We start from the raw sequence: 25,898 nt of genomic DNA, 5'->3' as shown, positions 1-25,898 counted from the left end.
TAGAGCAGCTGCTCGTCACCTGCCCATGCCCCTCTGTTGGTCATGACCATGTCTGCTTCCAGTTGTCTCGTCTTTGCTCTAAGGATGAGCAGCTGCAAAAAAGGAAAAAATTTTTTTCAGATGCTATATTTCGACAGTGCAGCTGCTTGTTGAAGACTCATGCGTGTTTTTTGTCTCCTGACATTTACCTATAAATAGGAACTTGATAAATAACTCAGTCGAATGTGTTTTAAGCACACCTGTCACTAAGTGACTAGAATCTGGCTTAAAGGTATCCCGGGGTAAATAATATAGAGTATTTTAGTTTTTGCTTTCTAACCTAGGTGGTTTTATATTTCACAGAAATCTATAAATTGCTTTCAGTTTTAAAAATACTGCTTTGTAAAATCTATTGAGTAAAAGACAACTGCATTAAGGATTGGGGCTTGTGTGTTTGATTAGCGTCATCTCCTTAAGTGACTTCAGAAATAAATAGTTCCCCTCTCAAAACTTTCAGTTAAGACTGAAAACGCAACTGGGCCTGAAGAACTTGGATTGCCCCTGCAGAGGTCCTACAGCGAACACCTGGGATATTTTCCTACTGATCTATTTGCCTGGTTAGTTTTTTGTTCTTTTTCATAATAGCAATATTTTTAGAGAACTTATTGATTGTGGCTATTTTGTGGAAGAGGGGTGCAGCATTTGCTGTACTTAAGAATCCTGAGCTGGCACTGTGGGTACACATTACAGAAGTATTCAACTTAATATAAGGAAATACTTCATAAACAATTAGACTTGACCACAGGGGAACAGGTCAAATTGTAAGGTAGTGAGTTCCCCATCATTGGGGAATATGATCAGTATTAGAGTCTATGTTATCACTAAGCAAAGTTAAATAGCGCAGTGGTATTTAAACTTCATAAAAACAGTGAAATTCCTCAAACAAAAATTTTACATGGAACCCCAATATTTAAACAGACAAGAGCAGCCTCACCTGTTATACACCTACTACTCTGCTTCTTCCCATTGTCTTTCTCGAACTCATGAACCTATCCACCCAGTTATTGAAAATCTCCCTTTAAAAAGGATTTAGTATCTTTTACGTACCTCATGTAGCTTTTGGAATCTTCTTGTTTGGTATACAAGGCAAGTTTTAGTGTGTGTCTCTGTGTCTCCTTGTGTTTCTCTGTCTCTCTCTCTCTCATAGACATTAGAACTGGCATTCAAACCTGGATTGGGTAGGCAGTTGAACTGGGGATCAGACCCTTCCTTCCAATGCTAGTATGCTTATAAAATTCAATTTTTGTGAATTTCTTCCCTTCACTTTAAGCTGATTTCCAAGGAGGTTTTAAGTAGAGCCTAGGGATACAAAGAATGGACATAACTGCTGAGGGCATGCGTACTGATGATGGTGAGAATTTTAAGTTAGTCACTTCCAGAATTTGTAGAATGTGGCCATCTACTGTTTTGAACAAGAAAGGGACTTGGCAGTCAGTAAGTGTGGTTAAACCAAAGCTGACTTTGGTAACGCAGAGATATCAACAGCTTTCTTGGTCTTATTTAACATTTTAATCTTAAAGAGGCTTGCCGTATTAACCCTTATCTAGGATATGGGGTTGGGAAAGGTTTTGGAAGGTCTTAATTTTCTTATATTACTTGCAACTGCTTTTCTTTTTAAAAAAGTTTTTATGACTACATAGTATGCATGTGCTTTTTGATCTCTACTCATCTTGAATCCTTCTGTCTTCCCTCAGTATCCTACCACTGTAAATAAAATTTTCAAATCAAGTTATATCTCTTAGGATAGAGGAAATAGGATTAGTTTGCAAGTTTCTTAGATTAATGTATTTTTAAATCAATCAGAATGCCTGAAGAAGTTCTGCAAAAATAGTAGAGCCAGAAAATGTCCATTAAATGACAAATTTTAAAATGGAGGGAACCTGCGCTTTGCTGGTTGGGTTGGCCTAGGGTGTATCTTGTCCTTCTAATCCTTTATGCTTTTTTCCTGTAATGTACCTTTCCTTCTGAAGGGTGCATAGTCATATAATATGGTGTAGTCATAATTGATAAGGTCAGAATGTTTTAATCCTGCTTGTATGTATTGTTAACAATTTATTTTAGAATTTTGATCAGTCATTGAATTTAGGATGATTTTGATAATATATTCTTTTGAAATTTTGAAATAAACATTCTGCACCAAATGTCTAAGATATGGTGTTTTGACACTTATTGCCCCTTTGTATGAAGCAAGAGACTTAGAGAAGCATCCTTTGTTTAGTGTATTGGTGCGTATTATTTAATTTTGCCCGACAATTTTCCCCTTTAATGTATGGTGTGATTTTCTCTTGTTTCTAGCTCTGAATCTTTAAGGAATGGCAATGGGCTTGAATTAAATGCTTCGTTGTCAGAGTTCGAGAAAAACAAAAAGATCTCTCTTCTTCATTCAAGCAAGGAAAAACTAAGAAGGTGAATTTTAATATAGCACTTTTTAAGCATTATTCTTTTGTAGGGAGAAATTAATGAATTTTATAATTTTTTGTAGTATTATTAAAAGTATAAGTGAAACTAGTAAACTTAGCAAACAAATAGATGCCACTCACTCATTCAGCCTTGTAGTCATTCAATAAATGTTTCTGAGTCTGCAGTGCATGCCAAAGAAGGATTGGAGAACTGATATAAAAAGTAAGTCCCTGCCTTCAAAGGTGTTCTGAGTCTAGTGCTCAGACAGACTTTTAAATAGGCTATTAAGTAGAAAATTATGCTTTTTAATACATGTCATGATGAGAACACAAAATAAGGACACTAGGAAAGTTTTCTAAGACAGAGTAAGGGGACAGTAAAAGTTTTCTTGAGATGGCAGTAGCTAAATTGAGCTTTCCACACGTTGCAATTAATTTGGTTTGGAAATCAGGGAAGGGTATTTTATATGGAGGGAATAATAGGTACAGAGGCTGGCAGTCTTAGAGAGTCCAGTGAATTTATGGAACTGCATGTATGTCCATATGGTTGGCCATCAGGTCACAAGGGGGAAGAGGCAAAAGATGAGAGGTAGTAAGTAGGGGCTGGGTATTTCATGCTATGAAATTCAAATTATAACCTAGTCTGTTGGGCAGTTGCTAAAGGATTTTAGCAAAGGAGTGTTATGATGAGATTTATACCTTAGAATGAACACTCTAATAGGATGTAACACAGTGAATTGCATCCGGAGGCCAGAAGTAGTCTATAATAAGAAATGATAATTTCCTGAGCTATGGTGTTAGCAATGAGATAGAGAGGAATAAGCCAATTCTAGATGTATTAACTAGGAAGAATCAGCATGAGCATGGCTAAGGATAAGTGAGGTGTAACTCCCAAGTGGATGGTGACACCATCCACTGACGAAGAAGGACAGTAGAATGGCAGTGTGAGGTAAATATATTTTTATTTTTACTCTTGTTGAGCTTGAATACTTCTAGGTTTGAATACCTCTTGGAGTGCAGAGTTGGCCCTTTGATTCTAGAGAAAGGTCTAGGCTTAGAAATACAGGCTCAGAGGAATGAGGACACAGCATTTCTTTGAAGCAGTGGACATAGGGATGGATATAGGATGATTGTGGGAAGCACGTAGAGAAGGGACTAGTGGAGAAAAGAACCTTAGAAAGATTCTCAGTATTTAAGGTACAGGCAGCAGAGAAGGAATCCATGGGGAACACAAAGAGTTACTAAGGAGATAAGAAGAATACCAAGAGGCAGTGGTATTGAGCAGACCAGGGGAGAGGAATTTCCTAAAGGAACAGGTGCTCAGGAGTATCATGTGATGCAGAGAGATCAAGTAAGGTTAAGAGCTGGTAACTGACTATTTGTATTGAGCCAGACCTAGATGTCATTGATCTTGGCAAAAATAATTTCATTGGTATGGTTAGAGAAGAAGCACCATTGCAGAAAGAAAGACAGGAACACAGATGAAATGAAGGTGTGAAGTATTTACAAAGGGACTGAGGGTAAAGTACGAGATTTTGATAAGAGGCCAGACTTTAATATGCTTATGTTACAAAAGAAGCAGCTGAGAGAGAGAAAGAAGTTTTGAAGATCCTCATATTCTAGTTATCTGTGGTTGCATAAAAATTAAAACAAGATTTACTGGCTTGAAACAACCACCATTTTATTGTAACTATGTTTTTATGGGTTAGCAGTTCGAGCAGGGCTCAGCCAAGCAATTCTTCTGCCTACATGACATTAACTGAGGTACTCATAGTTTTCAGCTGGTGGATGGTCCAGTCAGGAGGGTCCAAGACATTGCGTATCTGGACTTTTGCCAGCATGGGTTGGAAGTCTGAGCTCAGCGGGGGCTGTCAACTGAAGCCTTTCCAGCAGAGTAGTTTTAGTGTCATTGGACTTCTTTCATGGTGGCTTAGGGCTCCTAGAGAGAGTGTTTCAAGAGACAGGAAGGGGACGCTGCCAGTCTCTTCAGGCCTGGGCCCAGGCCACTTCTACCATATGCTAGTGGTCAGAGCCATCACAGGGTCTACCCAGATCCAAGGGGAGGCACATAGACCCCACCTGTCAGTGGGAGGAAGGTCAAATAATTTTAATCCCCCGCAGCTGATGAGGAGGTGTTGGTGATGGAGTGAGCATCCCTGAGGAGGCAGAAGGCAAGGGAATCCAGAACCGGGTGGAAGAATGTCTCTTCCATGGAAAATGGAGAGGAGGAGTTTAGGCTCAATGTGAATTCACATGAATTTTTCGATGGGGCCCGATCAGGGAGGAAGTTGAGCAAGTTCTTTGCTGAATGGTCCCCCTCCATCTGCTGAAGATTAGTGGGAAGATGATGGGGTTTGGGCTTGATGGGATGGGATGGTGGATAGGCTACTCTGGCTCTAAAGGGCTTCATTCCCATGACTGCTGCCTTGCTAGGTCAAGACTTAGGGCCCGCTGGCCAGTGCTGTCCCATAGATCTCATTCATCTGAAGCCAAATGAGAAAAATACAGTGCACTGAGTATTTTTTAAAGCTACATATTATACAATTGATATCCTAAGATTGTATTCTCCATACTTTATTTGATGTTAAAATAATGTTGATATTAGCAAATGATTATAATGAAATGATGCGAGGAAACATTTATTCCTTGTTTTTTCATTATTTTTCATGTCCAGATCTAATGGTGGGAATCCTTTATTGGTCCCCCAAAGTTACGTGTTAGTTTTCTTTTTAAAATTTTAATGGTTGATGAAAACTAAAATCTAAAACCACTCATCTAGTAGACTGAAAAGATGCTTTGGGGTTGTTCACATCTGTGGCATTATTTGAAGGACTAGAAATCTTTGTTTCTCAAAAAGAAGAGCTGTGACAAGGACCTCCCCCTTTCTCTTTAGAGATTTGCCTGGGAGCTCCCAGGAGGTAAACACCATCCCTGATTAGTTTTTGTCTTTCCCTCTTAACCCTTCTGACCATGCCTGTGAATCTGAAATCGTTGCTTCTAGTCTGTTTCCTTTCTTCCTCCTCCTCTTCCACTCACCTGCTTTACATATGGTTTTGGGTTTTTGTTTGTTTTTAAGCAGTAGGGCAACATGATGTTTGCTAATGTTAAGGAAACGATGGTTCTGGCCAATATTTTTGCACTTGGGAAATTTTTTTCTCTGATACTCGCATTCTTATTAGAACATATTAATCAAAATTAGCTAATTCTTATATTCTTGGTGAAATCCCATTCATTATATATTTATAAATACATAAACATGTTTTTATCTTGTAAAGTGTGTATTCTCCAAATGATGTCATCACATTTTTGTGTACCCATGAGTCTGACATGATGGTGGTGTAATAATTTTGGGGGTGTCTATTCACTTGAGAAGAAGGGAAATGTTGAGCTTTGCCATAGTGTCCCACAAATGAAGACTTTTCCAGGACTAGACAAGTCTTAAAGATTCAAGAAAGGTAGAACAGGCAGTTCTCAGAGGGTTCCAAGTTGTATCTGGCCCAGATACCTTTCCCTGTGAGTCCTTGTTTGTTTGAGACACATTTATACAGAGGAGAGCCCCAAGTAGACATCCGTGCCTTGTTTCAGATCTTAGAGGGAAAATGTTAAGTCTTTTACCATCACATATGATGTAAGCTGTGGCCTTTTGTGCATGCTTTTTTATCAGCTTAAAAAAATGTTTCCTTCTAGTCTTAGTTTAGGATTTTATCATGAATGGATGTAAAATTTTGTCAGTCTTTTTTTCTCTATCTAGTAAGATGATAATTTCTCCTCTTGTTTGTTAATGTGGTGATTATGACTGATTTTTTTAAATGCAAAACTTCACTTTGTCTTAAGGTGTAGATAATTTTTGTTTATTGCTGGATTATATTTGCTAATATTTTGTTAACAATTTTTGCATCTGTGTTTATGAAAGATATTGGTTTGCAGTTTTCTTACAATGTCTTTATCTCATACTGGTCATATAAAATGAAATGGAAAACCTTCTGTTTTCTGAAACAATTTGTGTAGAAATGTTATGTTTGATAGGATTCAACGGTGAAGTCATCTAGGCTTGGAATTTTCTTCGTGGGAAAATTTTAATTACATATTCAATTTCTGTAATTATTATAGGACTAAATTCCCTATTTTTTCCTTTTGGCTGTTTTTTTCTGTGTCAGTTTGGTTAATTTATGTCTTTCAAGAAATTTGTCCATTTAATCTTAAGTGTCACATTTGTTTAACAACATGATCTTATTATCGTTTTAACATCTACAGGTCTGTGATGATGGCTTTTTTCATTCCCGGTATTGATAAATTGTGTTTTCTGCCTTGTTTCTTGATCAGTCTAGCAAAAAAAGGTTTGTCAGTTTTATCGATTTTTTTTCAGTGAAGCAGATTTTGATTCATTGATTTTCTATATTAGCTCATTTTTTTATTTCATTGATTTCTGCTCTTTGTCTTTCTATACTTTGTGGGTTTTTTGTTTGTTTGTGTGTTTGTTTGTTTTGAGACAGAGTCTTGCTCTGTCACCCAGGCTGGAGTGCAGTGGTATAATCTTGGCTCGCTGCAACTTCTGCCTCCCGGGTTCAAGCAATTCTCCTGCCTCAGCCTCCCAAGCAGCTGGAATTACAGGTGTCCACCACCACACCTGGCTAATTTTTGTATTTTTAGTAGAGATGGGGTTTCACCATGTTGGCCAGGCTGATCTCAAACTCCTGACCTCGTGATCCGCCCACCTCGGCCTCCCAAAGTGCTGGGATTACAGGCATGAGCCATCGTGCCCGGCCTCTATACTTTGCTTTTTAAAAAAAAAGTCTTTGAAAATGTGGCACATATACACCACACAATACTATGTAGCCATAACAAAGAATGAGTTCATGTCCTTTGCAGGGACGTAGATGAAGCTGGAAACCAGCATTCTCAGCAAACTAACACAGGAATAGAAAACCAAATACCGCATGGTCTCACTCATAAGTGGGAGTTGAACAATGAGAACCCGTGGACACAGGGAGGGGAATATTGCACACCAGGGCCTGTCGGGGGGTTGAGGGGAAAGGGGAGGGAGAGCATTAGGACAAATACCTAATGCATGCGGGGCTTAAAGACCTAGATAACGGGTTGATGGGTGGAGCAAACCACCATGGCACATGTATGCATATGTAACAAACCTACACGTTCTGCACATGTATCCCAGAACTTGAAGTATTTAAAAAGTAGAGCGGGTGCAGTGGCTCACGCCTGTAATCCCAGCACTTTGGGAGGCCAAGGCGGGTGGATCACGAGGTCAGGAGATCGAGACCATCCTAGCTAACACGGTGAAACCCTGTCTCTACTAAAATACAAAAAGTTAGCTGGGTGTGGTGGCAGGCGCCTGTAGTCCCAGCTACTCGGGAGGCTGAGGAAGGAGAATGGCGTGAACCCGGGAGGCGGAGCTTGCAGTGAGCCGAGATAGCGCCACTGTACTCCAGCCTGGGCAAGAGCAAGACTCCGTCTCAAAAAAAAAAAAAAAAAAAGGTCTTTGTAGGTAGAAACTTCCATCATTGATTTTAACCTTTTCTTCTTTTCTAATATAAGCACTTAAAGCTAAAACTTTTCCTTTATAAAAGTTTTTCTCTAAGCATTGCTTCAGCTGCATCTCATCAACTTTGATATATTTCCACTATCATTCAGTTCAAAATATTTTCTCATATCCCTTGTGATTTTTTTCTTTTCACTAGTAAGTCTTTTCACTGTTTAGAAGTGTATAACTTAACTTGAATGTTTGGAGACTTTCTAGGTATTGATTTATAATTTAATTATGCTGTCATCTGAAAACATGCTTTGTAAAGTTTCTGTCCTTTGTTATTTTCTGAAACTTGTTTTATGGCCCAAAGCATGTTCTCCCTTGATGAATGTTCTATATGCATTTGAAAAGACTGTATTCTTCTGTTTGGGGGGTGTAGTATTCTATAAATATTAATGAGGTAGAATTAGTCAATAGTGTTTTTCATATATTCTGCTCCCTTACTGATTTTTTGAGGGTTAAGTTTTTCAGTGACAACTCTTTTTCCCTTTCTTCCTGAGAGTTTTTGCTTCATGTAGTTTGAGATTCTGTTGTTAGATGCCTGTCTTCTTGCTGAATTGACCCACTTATCCTAAGGAAATGATAATGCTAATTTTTCTATGCTAGTACTCCCTGTCTTAAAAAATCTACTTTGATATTAATATAGCTTTCTTGTGATTAGTGTTTGCATGGTTTTTTTCTAACCTGTATATGTCTTTATATTTAAAGAGTGTCCCTTGTAAATAGCATGTCGTTGAATCTTGTTGTTATTTTTTACTCATTCTGACAATCTCTGTTGTTCGTTTTCATATAATATACTTACTGTTAAGTGCGGTTTTAGGTTCACAATTTTTCTATTTGTGTTCATTAGTCTAATCTATTTTCTTTTTCCTTTTATTCTCATTACCTGCCTTCCTTTGGATTTATCAGGTATACTTTAGCATTTCTTTTTATCTCTTTCATTGACTTTTTAGCTGTAACTATTTTTTATTGGTTGCTCTAGGGATTATGATATGCATCTTTAACTTATCATAATCTACCTTGAATTGATATTATGCCCTTAAAATACAACAGCATATTTCTATTTACCTTCTTTCATTTTTTCTTATTGTTGTCATACATTTTACTTTTACATATGTTATTGTGTTAGTCCATTCTTGTGTTGCTATAAAGAAATACCAGAGACTGAGTAATTTATAAAGAAAAGAGGTTTAATTGACTCGTGATTCTGCAGGCTGTACAGGAAGCATAGCAGCTTCTGTTTCTGGTGAGCCCTCAGGAAGCTTACAATCATGGCAGGAGGCAAAGTGGAGCCAATGTGTCACATAGCAAGAGGAGGAGCAAGAGAGAGAGAAAGGAGAGGCCCCAAACTCTTTTAAACCACCAGATCTTGCATGAACTGAGTGAGAACTCACTCATCACCAAGGGGATGGCGCTAAGCTAAGCCCTAGAGTGCCCCCATGATTTAACACCTCCCACCAGGTTCCACCTCCAACATTGGGCATCACATTTCACCATAAGATTTGGAGGGGACAAAACATCCAAGCCACATCAGTTATCAACCCAGCATTGTTATTTGTTTTGCTTAAACAGTAAGCTGTCGCCCAGTTATCTAATACTGTACAACAGATTACTCTGAAACTTGGTAGTGGAAATCAACAAACTGTTTATCATATCTCATGATTTTGTGAGTCACCAGTTTGGGCAGAGCTTGGCTCTGTGATTCTTCTCAGTGTGGTGTTAACCATGGCACTCCGTGATGTTCAGCCAGCAAAACTGGCCTGTCTGGAGATTCCAGCGCAGCGTCATCCACACATGTGGTCTTCTGGTGGGTGTGGCTGCAGGTTGTGCTCAAATGGGCTGTTCTTCCCTGTGGTCTCATCACTTCTCCACATGGTATCTCCAGCAAGCTAGAAGGACCTCTTACATGAAGGCTTAGGATTCCATGAGACCAGTGTGAAAGCTACATCTTCTGAAATGCTGGTCCCAGAACTGTCATAGAGTCACTCTCCAGATATCTTTTGATTAAAGCAGGCACAGGCCAGTGAAGATTCAAGAGGAGAGGAAATGGACCCTGACTCTTTGTTGGAGAAATAAGTAATTTTCAGTGACTTTAATCTTAACTCTTATCTTTTTAACCCAAATTTCAGATTCTTGTTTGCAGTAGAACAGGCTCTTCACTGTATACAAGATTTTGTCTGAGTTGCAAAAATTCTCTCCCCATGAATTTCCCTGTATTACCATCTTTTGCTCCTGCATTTCCCCACTCAGTCTTGGCTGCCACAATCAAAGGGACATAAAGTACAAGGACACTTTTTTCTTGCCTCTGTAGTAGAAATCTTAGCAGTATACAGCTGCTCTAGGCCTGTCAAATAAATATATACTATTGGTTTTTAAAACATTAATAAATTAGAAAACTACCCTTTAATGTATGCCACCATATTTATCATGTCTTAGACTCTTCACTTGTTTGTGCAAATCATATTTCCATCAGATATTATTTCCCTTTATCTTCATGTAAGATAAAGACATTTTCAGATAAAAGACAACTTAGATATTTTGACACCAGTGGACCTGCAGAGTAAGAAAGCTGAAGGAAATTCTTCAGGCGGAAGGGAAATAATAACAAATGGAAACTCGAATCACTAGAAGGACTACATAGCACCAGAAATGATAAATGTCTGAGCAAAAACAAACATTTTTCATTTTAAACTATTTAAAATACTTAAAACTGTTATAAGCAAGAATTATAGCAATGTATCATGGGGTTTATAACATATGTAGCTATAGTACATATGACTATTACATGAAGAATGAGTGGGATAAATGCACTTGCATAACTTCTGCAGTTATACATTTTATGTGATGTCATAAAGTATTAACTCTAGACTATGAAAACTTCAGATATATATTGTAATCCCTAGAGCAACCCTAAAGAGATAGGCAAAATGCATTGCTGTGAAGCCAAAAGATAAATTAAAATTGGATTTTTAAAAATATTTTAAAATGAAGGAAGGAAAGGAGGAACAGAAGAATAAAAAAGCAAAAGAGACTACAGAGGGAAAAAAAGGTATGGTAGACCTTTATCCAACTATATCCAACTTATAGGCAGAAGTTTTCAGAATAGATAAAAACAAACAAAACCTAAGACCCAGCTATCTACTGTCTGTAACAGAGAAGCTTTAAATATAAAAAAATAAATTAATAGAAATATATCCATTGTGGAAACAGGAAGTATAAGAAAGTCAGATAGGCTATTTTAATATCAAATAAAGTAGACTTGAAGACAAACAGTATTACCTGCGGTAAAGAGGGGCAATTTATAATGATACAAGCGTCAACTTTTCAGAATGATATTAAAATCACAAATAGCATGTGATAAGAACTTCAAAATATTTGGATCAAAAATTTACAGAATTAAATGGACAAATAGATAATTTTAAAACAATTGCTGGAGATTTAACACTCCTCTCTCAGCAATTTATACAACTGGACACCAGAAAATCAGTAAGCTCTAGAAGATGTGAACACCGCTAACCACCTCAATCTCATGAATATTTATAGAGTAACACTCCCAACAACTGCAGCAGAAGACTCCTTCTCAGTGGCACATGGTACAGTCACTTAGATAGACTGCATACCGGTGGGGATATAAGAAGCTTCAAAACATTCAAAAGAGTTGAATTAATAAAGATGTGTTCCCTGACCACAACGAAATTAAATTAGAAATCAGTAAGAGTAAGATTTAAAGGGAAGTCTTAAATATATGGAAATTAAAAAAAAAAAAACTTCTAAGTAATCCATGGGTAAAACAAAAAAAAAAAATCACAAGAAAAATTAGAAAATATTTCAAAGTGAATCTATTGAGAACAAAATATATCAGCAAACCACTATGGCACACGTCTAGCTATGTAACAAACCTGCATGTACTGCACATGTATCCTGGAACTTTAAATTTAAAAAAAGAGAATGCAATATATCAAAGTTTTTAAGTAAACTACAACAAAGTTTAGGGAAAACACTGTGGCTTTAAATGCTTATATTAGATAAGGCAAAAGGCCTAAAAATCAGTAATATAAGGTTCCATCTTAGGAAGCAAGACAAAGTAAAACAAAATAAACCCAAATAAGTGGGGTGGTGAAGGGGGAGGAGGCTGGGAGACAGACACAATATATCACAATCATGAATGAAAGAGGGATGATCATGATAGCTACTCTAAATATTTAAATACAAAAGAGTATACTTTGAACAATTTTATGCCAGTAGATTCTACAACCTAGATGTACTGGATAAATTCTTGAAAATCACAATTTATCAAAACTGATACCAGATGAAGCAGAAAGTCGGAATAGCTCTATGTTTAACAAAATTGAACTTGTTATCAAAACCTTACCAAAGAGAAAACACTCAGGTGGTTTTACCAATGAATTTCAGCAAGCATTTAAAGAAGTAATACTAATCTTAAACACGTTCTTACAGAAGTGGGAGGAGGGAATACTTCCTAACCCCTTTCATGGGAACAACATAACCCTAAGCCTGACAAAGACATTATTTATAAAGAAAATTACAGACCAGTATCCCTCATGAACATAAAAACAAAAACACTTAACATAATTTTAGCAAATTAAATCAAGAAATATATAAAGATATAATATGACCACATCAGGGGTTCATCCTAGAAAAGCAAGACTGGTATGACATTCAAAAATCAACCAATTGGGCTTGGCATGGTGGCTCATACCTGTAATTCCAGCATTTTGGGAGGCTGAGGCAGGTGGATCACTTGAGGCCAGGAGTTCAAGACCGACCAGGCCAACATGGCAAAACCTCGCCTCTACAAAAAAAAAATAAAAAAATTAGCCAGGTTTGGTGGCACACACCTGTAATCTCCGCTACTCGTGAGGCTGAGGCATGAGAATCACTTGAGCCCAGTAGGCAGAGGTTGCAGTGAGCTGAGATGGTGCCACTGCACTCCAGCCTGGATGATAGAGTGAGACTCTGCCTCAAAAACAAAGCAAACCAATGAAATTCACCACATTAACAGAATAAAGGAGAAAAACCATGTGATTAACAAATTCTGAAAAAATATTTGACAATGCTCAATATACCATTATCATTAAAAAACAAATATCTTTCAGCAAATAGATGTGGAAGATAACTTCCTCAATTTGTTAAAAGGCATCTATAAAAAACTTATAACTAACATTGTACTTAGTGATAACATGTTGACTGCTCCTTAAAAAGATCAGGAACAAACTAAGGGTGCCCATTCTTACCATTTCTGTTCATTATCAAATAAATAATCCTAGCCATTGCAATTAGGCAAGATAAAGAAATAGACATACACATTAGAAAGGAAGAAGGAAAACTGGCTTACTATATGTAGATGGCATGATTGGGTATAAAGTCAAAGTCCTAAGACGTTTACAAAACAGCTACTGGAACCAAAGAATGACTATAACAGGGTTACAGAAGATAAGGTACAAAAATCAATGGTATTTTATATATTAACAGCAAATAATTATAAAATGAAAATATAAATATTATGACATTTAAAGTAGAATAAAATAGCTTTAGGATACTTAGGAACAAATATGCAAAAAAAAAAAAACAAATGATCTGTACATTGATCATTCAAAATGTTACTATGAAAAGTTAAATAAAAACTAAATCATGAATTATACCATAATTATGAATTGAAAGACTCACTATTGTTAAGATCTCAGTTCTCACCAAATTGAAACATAACTTTATTTGAATCCAAATCATAATCCCAGCAAGTTTTTTTCCATAAAAATTGACAAGATGATTTTACAATGTATGAAAAGGACTTAGAATATCCAAAGCAATTTTGCAAAAGTACAACAAAGTAGAAGGACTTAAACTATCTTGACTTCAAGACTTACCCTAAAGCTACAATCACCAGTAGGTAACTGGCATAAAAGTTGACAAATAGATCAATGGAACACAATAGCCCAGCACTGGATCCACATATTTATAGTCATTTGATTTTCAACAAAAGCACCAAAGCAAATATTTTGGGACAGAAAATCTTTTTAATAAATGATGCTGGAACAACTAGATATCCATCTGGAAAGAGAATCAACCTTGACCCCTTACTTCACACCATATAAAAAATTATTTCAAGATGGAGCATACTCAGAGCTGTACTATAAAGCTAAAATTATAGAGCTTCTAGGATGACACTATTCAGTTGAATCTTCTGCTGTGTTAAAAATTATATCTTCATCATCTCATACAGTAGCCACTAGCAACATGTGGTTATTGAGTATTCGAAATGTGGCTATTGCAACTTAGGAAAAGAATTTTTAATATATGTAATATTAATTTATATTTATTATATTTAAATAGACTCACGTCTATTGACTACTGTATTGGACATTACAGTTCTACAAGAAAATAGAATGTCTTCATGAGCTGAGAGTACGCAGATGTTCTTTAGACAGGACATAGAAAGCAATAACCATGAGAGAGAGAGAGTAAATAAATTGGATTTATCAAAATTTAAAACTTTTGCTATCAAAAAGTTTTAAGAAAATAAATACGAAAGCCGCAGATTGGGAGAAAATATTTGCCAAACAGATATCTGACAAATCCTGGTATCCAAGATATGTAAAGAATTGCTAAAACTAAAAAATAAAAAGACCTGCAATTCAATTAAAATGTAGGTAAAATATCTGCATGGACGCTTGACAAAGGAAGCTATACAAGTGCCCAAAAGACACAGGAAAAAGTGCTCAACATCATTAGCTGTCAGGGAAATGCAGATTAAAACATAATGGATACTACTGTGTATGCCCCAGAAAGGCCAAAATGCTAAAATGAAAACTACTGATGATATTAAATATCATCAAAGATTTGGAACAAGAGGTCTGATACATTGATGGTGGAAGTGTAAAATGGTACTCCCTTGGTGTGGTAAGAGTTCTGCCTGTTTTTATAAACTTATAAAATGGCCCATCATTTCTATTCCTAGATATTACCCAAGAGAAATAAAACCATGCATTCATAAAAAGACATCTAGAATGTTCTAGCATCCTTATTTGTAATAACCCAAAACTGGTAACAGCCCAAGTGTTCATCAATAAGAGAATGGATAAGTAAGCTGTGGCATATTTATATATTTTTGAATACTGTTGCTCAGTGAAAAGGAGCAAACTGCTGATATGGTTAGCCCCATAGATAAATCCCAGAAACATTAAAGCTGAGTGAAAGAAGCTTTACAAAAGAATACATGCTGTAAGATTTTATTTATATGCTATTTGAGGACAGGCAAAAGTGATGTGGTATGGAAAAAAAATACTAGAATTGTAGTTGCTTTATGGGGTTAGGGGATGGTATTGACTGGGAAGAAACAAGGGCCTTTCTGGGTTTGTGATAATGGATTTTCATGTGTGATTAGGATTTTCGTTACATATATATTTCAAATACATACAGTTGTATGTATTTGTCCAAACTCATAGAATGGGACTCATTGTGCATTTTTGTTTTATGTAGTGTTTACCTGAAAATAAAGTAATTTGAGCTACTGATACATTTAGGAGTGTAATGTGCTTATGTCTACAACTTACCTTGCTTTAATATATGTAAATATGTTAATGTATGAATAGTGGGATGACACATATATAATAAAGCAGATACTAGTTGAGCATCTCTAATCTGAAAATCTGAAATCTGAAATGTTCCAAAATCAAACTTTTTCAGCACTGACATGAGATAGTGGCACCTTTTCTTTCTGATGGTTCAGTGTGTACAAACTTTGTTTCAGGTACAAATATTGTATAAAATTTCCTTCAGGCTATATATATATATTATAAAACATAAATGAGTTTTGTATTAAACCTTGGGTCCCATCCCCAAGCTATCTTATTATGTCTATGCAAATATTCCAAAATCCAAAAAAGTCTGAAATCTTAAACACTTCCCCAGGCATTATGGGGAGGGATACTCAACCTGTACAGTAAATGTTAACTGTAGACTCTTAAGTGGTAAGTGTATAGGTGTTCACTGTATAATTCTTTCAAATTTTCTCTATGTTCGAACATTTTTCTAATGTTGGAAAATTTTAATAGCATTTCAATAGTTTCAATTCTGAATGTGACATATGCCTAGCAAAAAATATTTGGAAAATGTAGAAAATAAAGGGAATAAAAATGATCCATCATCCAGCCATCCAGAAATAACTGTACTGGATGTTTTTGCCTTCAGTCTTTTTTCCTAGGCTTCACTTCTACTTTGTTTAGTGGCTTGGATTATATTTTATATGCTGTTTTGTGGCCTACTTTTCCCCAATAAGCTTTATAACATCTCACTTCCACTGCCAGGTGACATTCTACTGAACTAATAATGTACAGCAGCTTACTTAAGGCATCCTCCTATGTTATGTGTTGTTTTCTATATTTTACTAATATATTGCTCTAATGGGTTTCTGTGTATACATACTGTGCTCTGTGTTTTAGATTCACTCCTCAGGACGGATCCTTGTAAGTGGAAGAACCATGTCAAAGGCTGTGAAAAGTTTCAAAGCCCTTCACACACGTTGTCAAATTGTTGACTCTTCTATCCTTCCCTTCCCAGAATAGTTCCCGAGACACCCCCGCAGAGCCCCCAGAGTTCCTCAGAGCTCAGTGAGAACACCACTGATGTAGAATATTTGAGTTATTCATTGGCCGTATGTCAAACTAGGTTTTTAAATATAATTTCTCTGCCATTCTGGTGTTTACAGAGGTTTAGTAACTTGCCTAAGGTTCCAGTTAGTAATAGCAGAGCCACCATTCAACCCTGTAGATGTCAAGGTAGTATTCAGCACAAAACAGGTGCTTAAAGATGTTTATTAAAGGAACACATGGATAAATGAAGCCACCAAGGGCTTAAGTCAGTTAGATCTACATTTCCTATCCCCCTTCAGAGCTGTGAAAGACAGGTTAGTTTCTTTCTGATACCTGCATCCTGGTCTGCTCGTTCTGTCTGTACCTACCTCATGTAAAGGAAGCAGCCTTCTGATTTTCTTTTTGCTCAGGCCATGAAGTCATGTGGTACAAGATGCTAGCTGATCTGTTGTTGGAAATGTGGTCTAGGTCCCAGTGACATGAAGGTCCTGACTGCTCTTTGCCTTCTAGGCTTCTAGTGTGAATCGCAAAAGGATTTTTATATCATGTACAATTCTCTGCTCGGAGGGCAGAGTGGTCTGCACATTTCCGTAGGCAGCAGGGGGTGGGAAGGGTGCTTTCCTCGGTGACTGGGCATCCTGCGCTCTGCAGCAGGCCTGAGGTGAGAGAGCTGGGGCTGCCATCGGCACACACAGTGCACTTGGGCAGTGGTTCTTTGTGTAGCAGTATGCGTGGGTGCCCCAGGAAGCTGTGATTTCAGGGGCTGTGAGGGCTGCTGGCTTGTGGGGACACAGCCTTTCTCTGAAATGGAGACTATATAGGGAGGGGATGGTTCCTTTACAAACATACCCAGGAGGAAGTGTTGTTTGTCTTTGGGTACAATGAAGACAATGAGACTAATTATTCTTTATGTATTGCAATTCTGTGTCCAGGGAAAGAATCAAATATTGCTGTGAGCAGCTGCGTACTCTCTTGCCGTATGTAAAAGGGAGAAAGAATGATGCGGCTTCAGTTCTTGAGGCAACAGTTGATTATGTGAAATATATCCGGGAGAAAATCTCTCCAGCCGTTATGGCCCAGGTATTTGACTCCCAAAGCTTTGAATTTTATCCTTATAGACATGCTTTAATACTACAATTTTACTTCTTTTAATTTTTTATCATTGGAAAGTATGTGTCTTTGTATCTATGTAAAAATGTCGGTATCTACCTAAATATATTTCTGTGTTTTTTAGATTACAGAAGCACTTCAGAGCAACATGAGGTTTTGTAAGAAACAACAAACACCCATTGAGCTGTCTCTCCCAGGCACTGTCATGGCACAGCGGTATGATAAGGGCTTTTGCGAATCTGAAGTCTGCTAGTTATTTTCCTCCCATGTTGATGCTAAATATGTACACAAAAACTGCTATCCACAGTGAAAGTGCAGGGGCTTATTAAGGGTCAGCGAACTTTTCTAATTGCCGATGTGTATCATTTCGTTGCAGTGATAAACACAGGTAATATTCTCAGGTCCATGGTTTTTTCATCATGTGACTCACCCTTGCTTCTCCTTTCATTATTTCTGAGGTTCTTAAAATGGGGCTTTCTCCCTTGTGAGTGTAGGGATGGTGGTGGTCCAGCAGGGACGTGATGGCTTCTGGTGTTCCTCCATTGTGGAGAGGTCTCGGGCCCTGGAGCTGTCCAGCCCTATTTCAATTAGTGGTGCTTAAAGCAGGTCATTAGTGCAAAATGTGACTTCCCAAATGATTACTTTCTTCTCTAGATTGATCAGAATATGTAAACAAAGAGAAACTGGAGAAAAAGCACATCATTCCTGCACATCCTAAGGAATTATCGTGGGTCATGTGTCTTTGCTCATATGTAAATAATCCATAGTTGAGGCTTTATCAGTGTTTTTAGAACTTGAATGATAAAAGGGCAATTGAACTCAGCAGTGTCCACATTGTTTTCCTTGAAAAATGTGCAAATAATTTTTTCTGTCCTTTCAAGGGAAAACAGTGTGATGAGCACTTACTCCCCTGAGAGAGGGCTCCAATTCCTGACTAATACGTGCTGGAATGGGTGCTCCACTCCTGATGCAGAGAGCTCCTTGGATGAAGCTGTGAGAGGTGAGCTTCTCCTAGCATCTGTGCCACTTAGAGGGGGACCTGCCCTGCCCTGCAAACCCCCAGGCTCCTGTGCATTCACCACCATAACCAGGGAATCCAGGAGAGCTGATGAGTCCTTCTGGTATTGTCAGCCTCAGGTACACAAGGTGGCTACAGTTGTTTAAATAGTGTTATGCCAGAAACTGGGCTCAAAATTGACCGTAATTACCAGAAAGCTCATTCTGTTGATAGATGATAAGCACACTGGTGACTTTGTTTATAATATGAATAGAATCTCAGGGGAGGGGAAGTATTCGTATAATTTCAGGACTGACTGTGTCCTGAGCATTTAACATATTTATTTACCTCCTTCATGCCTTTGCTTGCATGTCACCTCTCAAAGAGATCTTCTCAGCCACTTTCTCTGCTGTATTTGTCTTGATAGCACTCACTGCCTTCTGCTATTCTTTACTTGTGTGTTTTGTTTGTTGCCTATCTTCCATTAGAATGTCACCTCCATGAAGGCAGGGAATTTTTTGGCTGGTTTTATTCATTGCTGTATTTCTAGTACCTAGAACAATGACCAACATACAGGAGGGGCTCAAGAAATCTCATTATGTGAATATTCATTGTGGAACAAATGCTTTCCCGCTGGGAGGCATTTTTGTTATATGTGCCGTATAAGCCTAGACATGCCCGTGTACCTGAAATAACAAGATGGAAAAAAATAGAGGAAAAGAACACAGCTAGCAGTTTGTGACTTTTAGTATTCCTGAAGATAAAGTTACTCTCCGTCTAGAAACCAGGAAGGTATGGACCTCTTGACCTAAATGTTAGACGCTAGATGACAGGACTGCCTCTCTCCTCAGCCTCTCAGTCCTAGATGACACTTCTGACTTCCTCCAACAGGCTCTGCTCTCACCAAGCACCTCCCTTGTACCAGGAATGTCCTTCCTCCCTCACCTGCGCTAGTTAGTACCAAGTCCATCCCTAGTTCTCAGCTTAAATGTCCCTGCCTCAAAGATGGGGACACAAAGATGAATAAAAGGCAGTTCTTGTTCTTATGGAGCTCACAACTTAGTGGTAGAAAGGGTCACAAAAGAAATTATGGCCCAGACAGTCTTGTAAGTGCTGTAGTAGAGGAACCATGCACAGATGGGGATGTGGCGGAAGCCATGGGAACAAATGAAGGTTATGCAGCATAGTGTCTAAAGTCAAAAGAGCAGGGACCCCCAGATAGAACCCAGCCCTGATTCTTCATATCACCAAAGAAGCCTCAGGGTGTTATTTTAGTCAGTTTAGACTTTTCTCCCAACTTAGAGGAGAGAAGAGAGGAGAAGAAAAAAAAATTGCCATAAGTAGCAGTGGCTGAATGTGACATGGAATGATTAAATCAGCTTAGATTAAATCAGATAGAGATCAGGCCACAGGCATATGCCTGTCAATGTTATTTTTTTGTACATACAATACTATTTATGTCCTGCAGAAACTCTGAAACATTATTTTCGTGGCAGCGAGTTCAGGCCTTTCTATGCCCCAGCATTTCAAGACACTGCCTCCCCTAAGGAGACCAATCTTGGGAAGCCAGAGATATGCTAGGAATAGACCTGTGGTAGGTTCAAACCCTAGGAGGCCTTGAAGGTTAAGGAGTCAAAACTGCCATTTTTATTTGATGTAAATACATTTTTGCGTTTGAAAACCAGTGCCGATCCTTTACTAACCTGGATAAGATAATCACCGTGTTCATTTTTTAATGTATTTCCTTCAAGTCTTCTTCCAGATATATTTTTCTATAGTAGTAATCATTGGATATCCCATTTTGTTTCTTGAATTTTTTTACTTAACTTTGTGTCATACATATGTATATTTGTTGTTATGCATCACTCATCACCATTTTAATAGTTTTAATCATTTATCAAGGGTAGAGTAATTTTCTTAGCCATTTTCCAGTCGCTACATTTAGCATTTGCAGTTTGGGGAGAGAGTGATTTTTTACATCATATGATAGGAAATATTTTCCCATATATGAAGTTTTCTGTATTTTGGACTTTTCCTTGGACTGGATTCCTGGAAGAGTATAATGGGTTCCTGGAAGAGTGTGATGGGTGACTTAGAGAACAGAGAACGTGAATGTATGTATAGGCTCTTAATGCATGTTGCCAAATTGTTTTGGAAAGAGGATCAGAGAAGTTGCAATCAGTTAAGTCTTCCAAATTTCGCTTTCACTACCCGCATCAGGAAGTTGAAGGCTAGAGAAGTTAAATGATCACCCAAGGTCCCAGGGTTTCTGTGCTGAGCCTGATCTGTAACACAGACATGTTTTAACCTTATCAGCTTGCCTTTTTCTGTTCTTTTTCATAAATCTCTGTATACAGTTGCTTAAATTATTTTTCCACAAACATTTCAGATACATTTGTATTTAAAGTAGACATACCATTATATTATTTTACTTTCAATATTATTAATGTCCAGTAGAAAATAAATATTGATGGTATTATTTGAGATTACATTGTTAATATTATATATTCAATTTTTTTTCTTCTAGTTACCATGTAGAATATAGCTATATGATGATATAAACCATTCTGCTGAATGGAGTTGTTCTTTCCAACCTTCTTCCTTGCTTCAGAGAGAGTCAATTTTGATTGACGTGCACATTCACATACATCAGAAGGCACAGGGATCTTCTGCTTCTATAAAACCTGTCTTTTAATGTACATGAACACTAATTTATAGTGTGTGTATTGCACTAAATGTCACAATTAGAAAGTTCACTTTGTTTTTCCATCAGCATTCGGGTGTAGCAGGTAGTACAGATTTGTAATGTGAGGAAATGAAATAGCGGGCAGTTTATGTCGAATAACAGTCGTTCTGAATTACAGAATTGTGGATACTGACCCATATTTGTTTTCTTTCTCATTAAAGTTCCATCAAGCTCCGCCTCAGAGAATGCTATTGGTGATCCATATAAAACTCACATTTCCAGTGCAGCGCTGTCTCTGAATTCCTTGCATACTGTCAGATATTATTCTAAAGTCACCCCTTCCTACGATGCAACTGCTGTAACAAATCAGAACATTTCAATTCATTTACCTTCAGCCATGCCCCCGGTCTCAAAGCTTCTCCCTCGGCACTGCACTTCTGGGTTGGGCCAGACGTGCACTACACATCCCAACTGTCTGGTAAGTTTCCAGGGGTCCATGGATCAGATTGGACCCTTTCACTCCAGCCAGCAGAAACCCCTGACCTGCATTTGTTGTTGCTACTCTGGTTGGAAGGCTGGGACCTAAGAGCTTGATTCTGAGTCTCTCTACCCTGATGAGTGAAAAGGAGGTGCAGTCAACCCATGCTCTCGCTCCTCATGCTGCAGGGCTGGTGTCTCGATATCCAGAACCAGTGAAGCTGAATGGGACTGTGCTAGTTTGACGGTGACCAGGTGGAATCTGATCTCCCCTAGCACTGATTGCCCACCCCTCTGCTTCTACTCAGAGCTTCCACAGTGGCACATCCCATTTTAGCACCCTCATCCTCAACTGGCCCCGTAACTAACTGCTACTTATCTCTTAGGTGGGCAGCATCACTTACACTAATCAAAAAGCTTTCTTTCAGTCACCAGCCAGGCTGATTTCAGATACCAGGTGTCTTCATACAGCAGATATTTACTGAGCACCCATTATGTTCTGACATTGAGTTTGTCATTGTACTAAGAATGTGGTATACAAAGGTAGACACGATCCCTGCCCTCATGCAGATTTAGTGTTAAGGGGATGCAGACAAAGAAGCAGAAATTACAATATGGTTGAAGCGGGTAGGAGGAGTGCCCCACTATATATATCAGCTAGATGTGGGCAAGGTTAGTGACTGCTCACCCCTGGAGAAATACCATCTATGTCAATCTCTAGCCACTAAGGAATAGCTAGGTAGAGGGGTGAGGAATCGGGAGTGAGTAGGCAAGAGCAGTCCTGGCAGATGGGTCAGCATATGAAACAGTCATACCTGCATTGTTTGGAAGAACTGTCTAGTGCTAGAGGAAGACTCAAACTAAATTGGCCTACTTAAAATGGACTTCTGTTAACTTTAATATAGTTGCTAATACTTTTGCATATTAACAATAGCTAACATGTTTTGAGCACTCAATAACTAATAGTGCCAAATACTCTGTGTACTTAATGTGCATGATCTTATGAGAATCCCTGAAGTGATCCTTTGACGGTAGATACTGTTACAATCTTCATATGACATCTATAAAATGGGAATAATAGTGACCTTCCAAAAGATATTTGTAAGAAAAATATTCTAAAGAGAATTGCGAAGAAATGTTAAAATATGTAGTGTCTACAGATATCGTAATGTTGCTAATGATCATTAGTATTCCAATAGGAAGGCTAGGGTAAATGAAAGCAAAGATTACAATATTATCATTTTTTAATTGTTGACCTATACTTACTCTGGGTGGGTTTTGTTGAATTGTTGTGAGAAAATAATTACTTTTAATAAGAATATATATTTAAAAACCTGTAAGCTTATTCACCTGAGGATTTAACATAGTTTTGCAAATCATTTCAGATTGTTTTAGGATATAGAAAATACAATCATGACATTATGAGTAAGAGTGGGTGAGGATTCAATTAATGTGGGTTTTTCCCCCTTCTTTGCAGCAACAGTTTTGGGCGTATTAAAAGCACATGTTTGAAATTCACACTCTCAACCACCTACTGGGCGCAGTTTGACAATCTAGGAAAAGTGGAACAAAGAATGATTTTGAAAGCTCCACCCAAAGACCTAATATCAAAAGAGTTGGCATGGTTTGGCTTCTGATAAATGCACTCAAAGCTTCTGCAGATAGAAAGACCAGCAGCGAAAAAGCTGGCCACACACTGTCACTCATCTTCATACACACTTGGATCCCCGCCAGCCAGAGAGCTACAAGAACAAATGGCCTCAGTGACCTACACTCTCTTTTCTCAAAAAATATTCCACAATTTATGAAAAAAGCATGCTATAAGGAAGATCCATGTAGACACGATAAAATGATTAGATTGGGAAGGTGTGTTGATACCTTGTGTCACTGAGTACAGATATTACAACTTGATTCTTATTTTTAGTATCCCTGTGAATTACTGTCACTCATTTCTAGGTGGTCTTTTCCTTATTTGACATTTTAGAGAGTTTCCTTCTTCATTCACCATCCAAACTAAGATATGCAGAGAGATGCTGAAAGAGGGGTTTACCTCCTCACTTGACAACTAATGAATAAATTGATGTGTGCTTTTGCATTTCACAATCCCTTGAGTGAAACGATGGCTAATAGGTAAATATTTCTTTCTGGACCTTAAGTTACAGACTAGCAGGTTTTTTGTTTTTCATCTCTTCCTCCCTATGGGTATTAGAAAGGACAGTTGAAAATAAGGGGGAAAAAGGTTTGTTTTATATTTCACTGAATTGTTCTTATATGTAAGTTTTATTATTAAATAAAATACTCAGTTTTCACCCTGAGCATTGTAATCCATTTTTGTTTTGTTTAATAAATATATGTTTTCTCTTTTAGTAGTACTATGTAGGGAATTTAATTTCCTAGAGTTTTGAGAAGCTTAAAAATTACTGTAGGCATAGCCTAATTCTCACATCAAATTGTACAACTTTTCTTTGAGGATACCAAAATGATGGAATCTGCAGATGTTTGACATACTTTATAAAGGAACAGAAGTTTCCAACTAAGGCTTTATTCTTATTATTAAAAACAGGTGCATGATTCTTCATTCTCTTTCCTTTAGGAATAATTGCTTTGACATTAGAAAAGAACCTGTTGAGGTATTTTGGACACTGGGACTACTGCCTATGTTCCCAGCTGGTCTTAATTGTTGCTGGGGCTTTTGCTTTGTACCAGGGTTTCTTTATATCTCCATGTGGGCTATGAGAGAAGCCAGTGACTGGAAGTTCTTCAACAGAGGACCTAAAAAGTGTGACCCCTAGAGCCATCTCTCTACTTGCTGCTCTCTCAGTCCCATTTTCCTTTCAGCATAAAGAGGAGGCTACCAGATCCATCGTTAGAGCTCTCTACTTTTCAAGGCTGGGTCCCATAATCCTGTACTTCATGCAAGTGTCCAAATTCATTTCTAATGTGAGAATTTCATTTTTAATAAATTATTCTCTTCCAAATGAGCTCAACTCTTAGCCAAGGAAGAAAGGTTAGTTGGGTTTTACCTTGTAGAAAAGGAGCAGGATTTTCCTTGTAAAATCAAGTTGGCTGGTCATGGGACAGACAGTTGCAGTGTTATTTTCACAATGAAGAAGATGCAAAGAGCTTGCCTAGAAAAGGTGACAGCTTGTAAGTTTCACGGTGGTGGTAGCAGGATGAGTGAAACATAGTAGATGATCTGATATAGGGGCTGTGAGGAAGGGCAAAGAATTAAGGATGCCACCCAGGCTTCTGGCTTCAGCAGCTAGTGAGACAGTGTTGATGTTCACTGAGACAATGCAAGGAGAAGAACACTTGGAGTCATGGCATTAGAACATGACAATTTTATATGGGGACATGTTGCATTTGAGGTATTTAAATGATATCCCAGTTGAAGTAGCTAAAATACATTCAGATATCGCAGCACAGGCAATAGATATAGATGAGAGACATGGTTTGGGGTGTCAGCACTGGAGGGGAATGCCAAAGTGGGGGAATTAAACATTAAATGTTGGGAGTGGCCTGGATGACCCAATAGGAACTTGTGATGCTGCAATTCTGTCATACTGTATGATACATTTTAAGAGGTCACTTGGCCAGGCTCCTGATGACACAAGGTGTTGCAGATCACCAGAGATTCAAGGTACATGGGTAAAACCCTCAAAGGCAGAGGGCACAAGTTGCCGGTGGCAGCTGTTTGTTTATTGGCTGTTTTTGAATGTTAAGAAATTAAATTGCTCTGAATTTCTAGCTTCTGAAAAATTCAAAACATAGAGAATACTGGCTCTATTTCTAGTCTGGAAAAATAGTGACGAACTGCTCAGGCAGAGCAGTGCCTCCCTCTACATGGGGCATCAGCTTCCCTTTGGTCCCTTCCCATCCAGCCTGCCTCATTCATTGAAGTGGTGTGCCCTGTTCCAGTTTGGTTCCCAAAGGGGTACTGTTTCTCTATACAAGGAAATCATTTCGGGAAGAGAGGATGGGGGGGTTTGTTAAAATGCAGATTCCCAGGCCATACCCCTACAGGGTCAGATTTGGTAAG

The 25,898-nt window shown here is 38.0% G+C and overlaps 2 protein-coding genes across 3 annotated transcripts in view; both read left to right on the top strand.

The window, feature by feature from the left end:
• CCDC169-SOHLH2 (CCDC169-SOHLH2 readthrough) overlaps positions 1-24,174 on the top strand; it is a 129,598-nt gene extending 105,424 nt beyond the window's left edge. The window contains exons 10-16 of the mRNA NM_001198910.2: positions 497-596; positions 2,335-2,445; positions 17,522-17,669; positions 17,824-17,915; positions 18,581-18,699; positions 21,604-21,860; positions 23,337-24,174. Coding sequence (NP_001185839.1) covers positions 497-596; positions 2,335-2,445; positions 17,522-17,669; positions 17,824-17,915; positions 18,581-18,699; positions 21,604-21,860; positions 23,337-23,357 — 848 coding nt within the window. The 3' untranslated portion in view covers positions 23,358-24,174. The remainder of the gene's footprint in view (positions 1-496; positions 597-2,334; positions 2,446-17,521; positions 17,670-17,823; positions 17,916-18,580; positions 18,700-21,603; positions 21,861-23,336) is intronic.
• The window catches only part of SOHLH2 (spermatogenesis and oogenesis specific basic helix-loop-helix 2), a 46,340-nt gene extending 22,166 nt beyond the window's left edge, over positions 1-24,174 (top strand). Inside the window, exons 5-11 of one of the 2 annotated variants that reach the window (NM_017826.3) lie at positions 497-596; positions 2,335-2,445; positions 17,522-17,669; positions 17,824-17,915; positions 18,581-18,699; positions 21,604-21,860; positions 23,337-24,174. In NM_017826.3, coding sequence (NP_060296.2) covers positions 497-596; positions 2,335-2,445; positions 17,522-17,669; positions 17,824-17,915; positions 18,581-18,699; positions 21,604-21,860; positions 23,337-23,357 — 848 coding nt within the window. In that variant the 3' untranslated portion in view covers positions 23,358-24,174. Of the gene's footprint in view, positions 1-496; positions 597-2,334; positions 2,446-9,193; positions 10,388-17,521; positions 17,670-17,823; positions 17,916-18,580; positions 18,700-21,603; positions 21,861-23,336 lie in introns of those variants that run through there. The other variant, NM_001282147.2, reaches the window with a different exon arrangement.

This window comes from Homo sapiens, chromosome 13, assembly GCF_000001405.40.
Source record: "Homo sapiens chromosome 13, GRCh38.p14 Primary Assembly".
NCBI classification, from domain to species: domain Eukaryota; kingdom Metazoa; phylum Chordata; class Mammalia; order Primates; family Hominidae; genus Homo; species Homo sapiens.
This window is presented reverse-complemented; position numbering and strand designations above follow the sequence as displayed.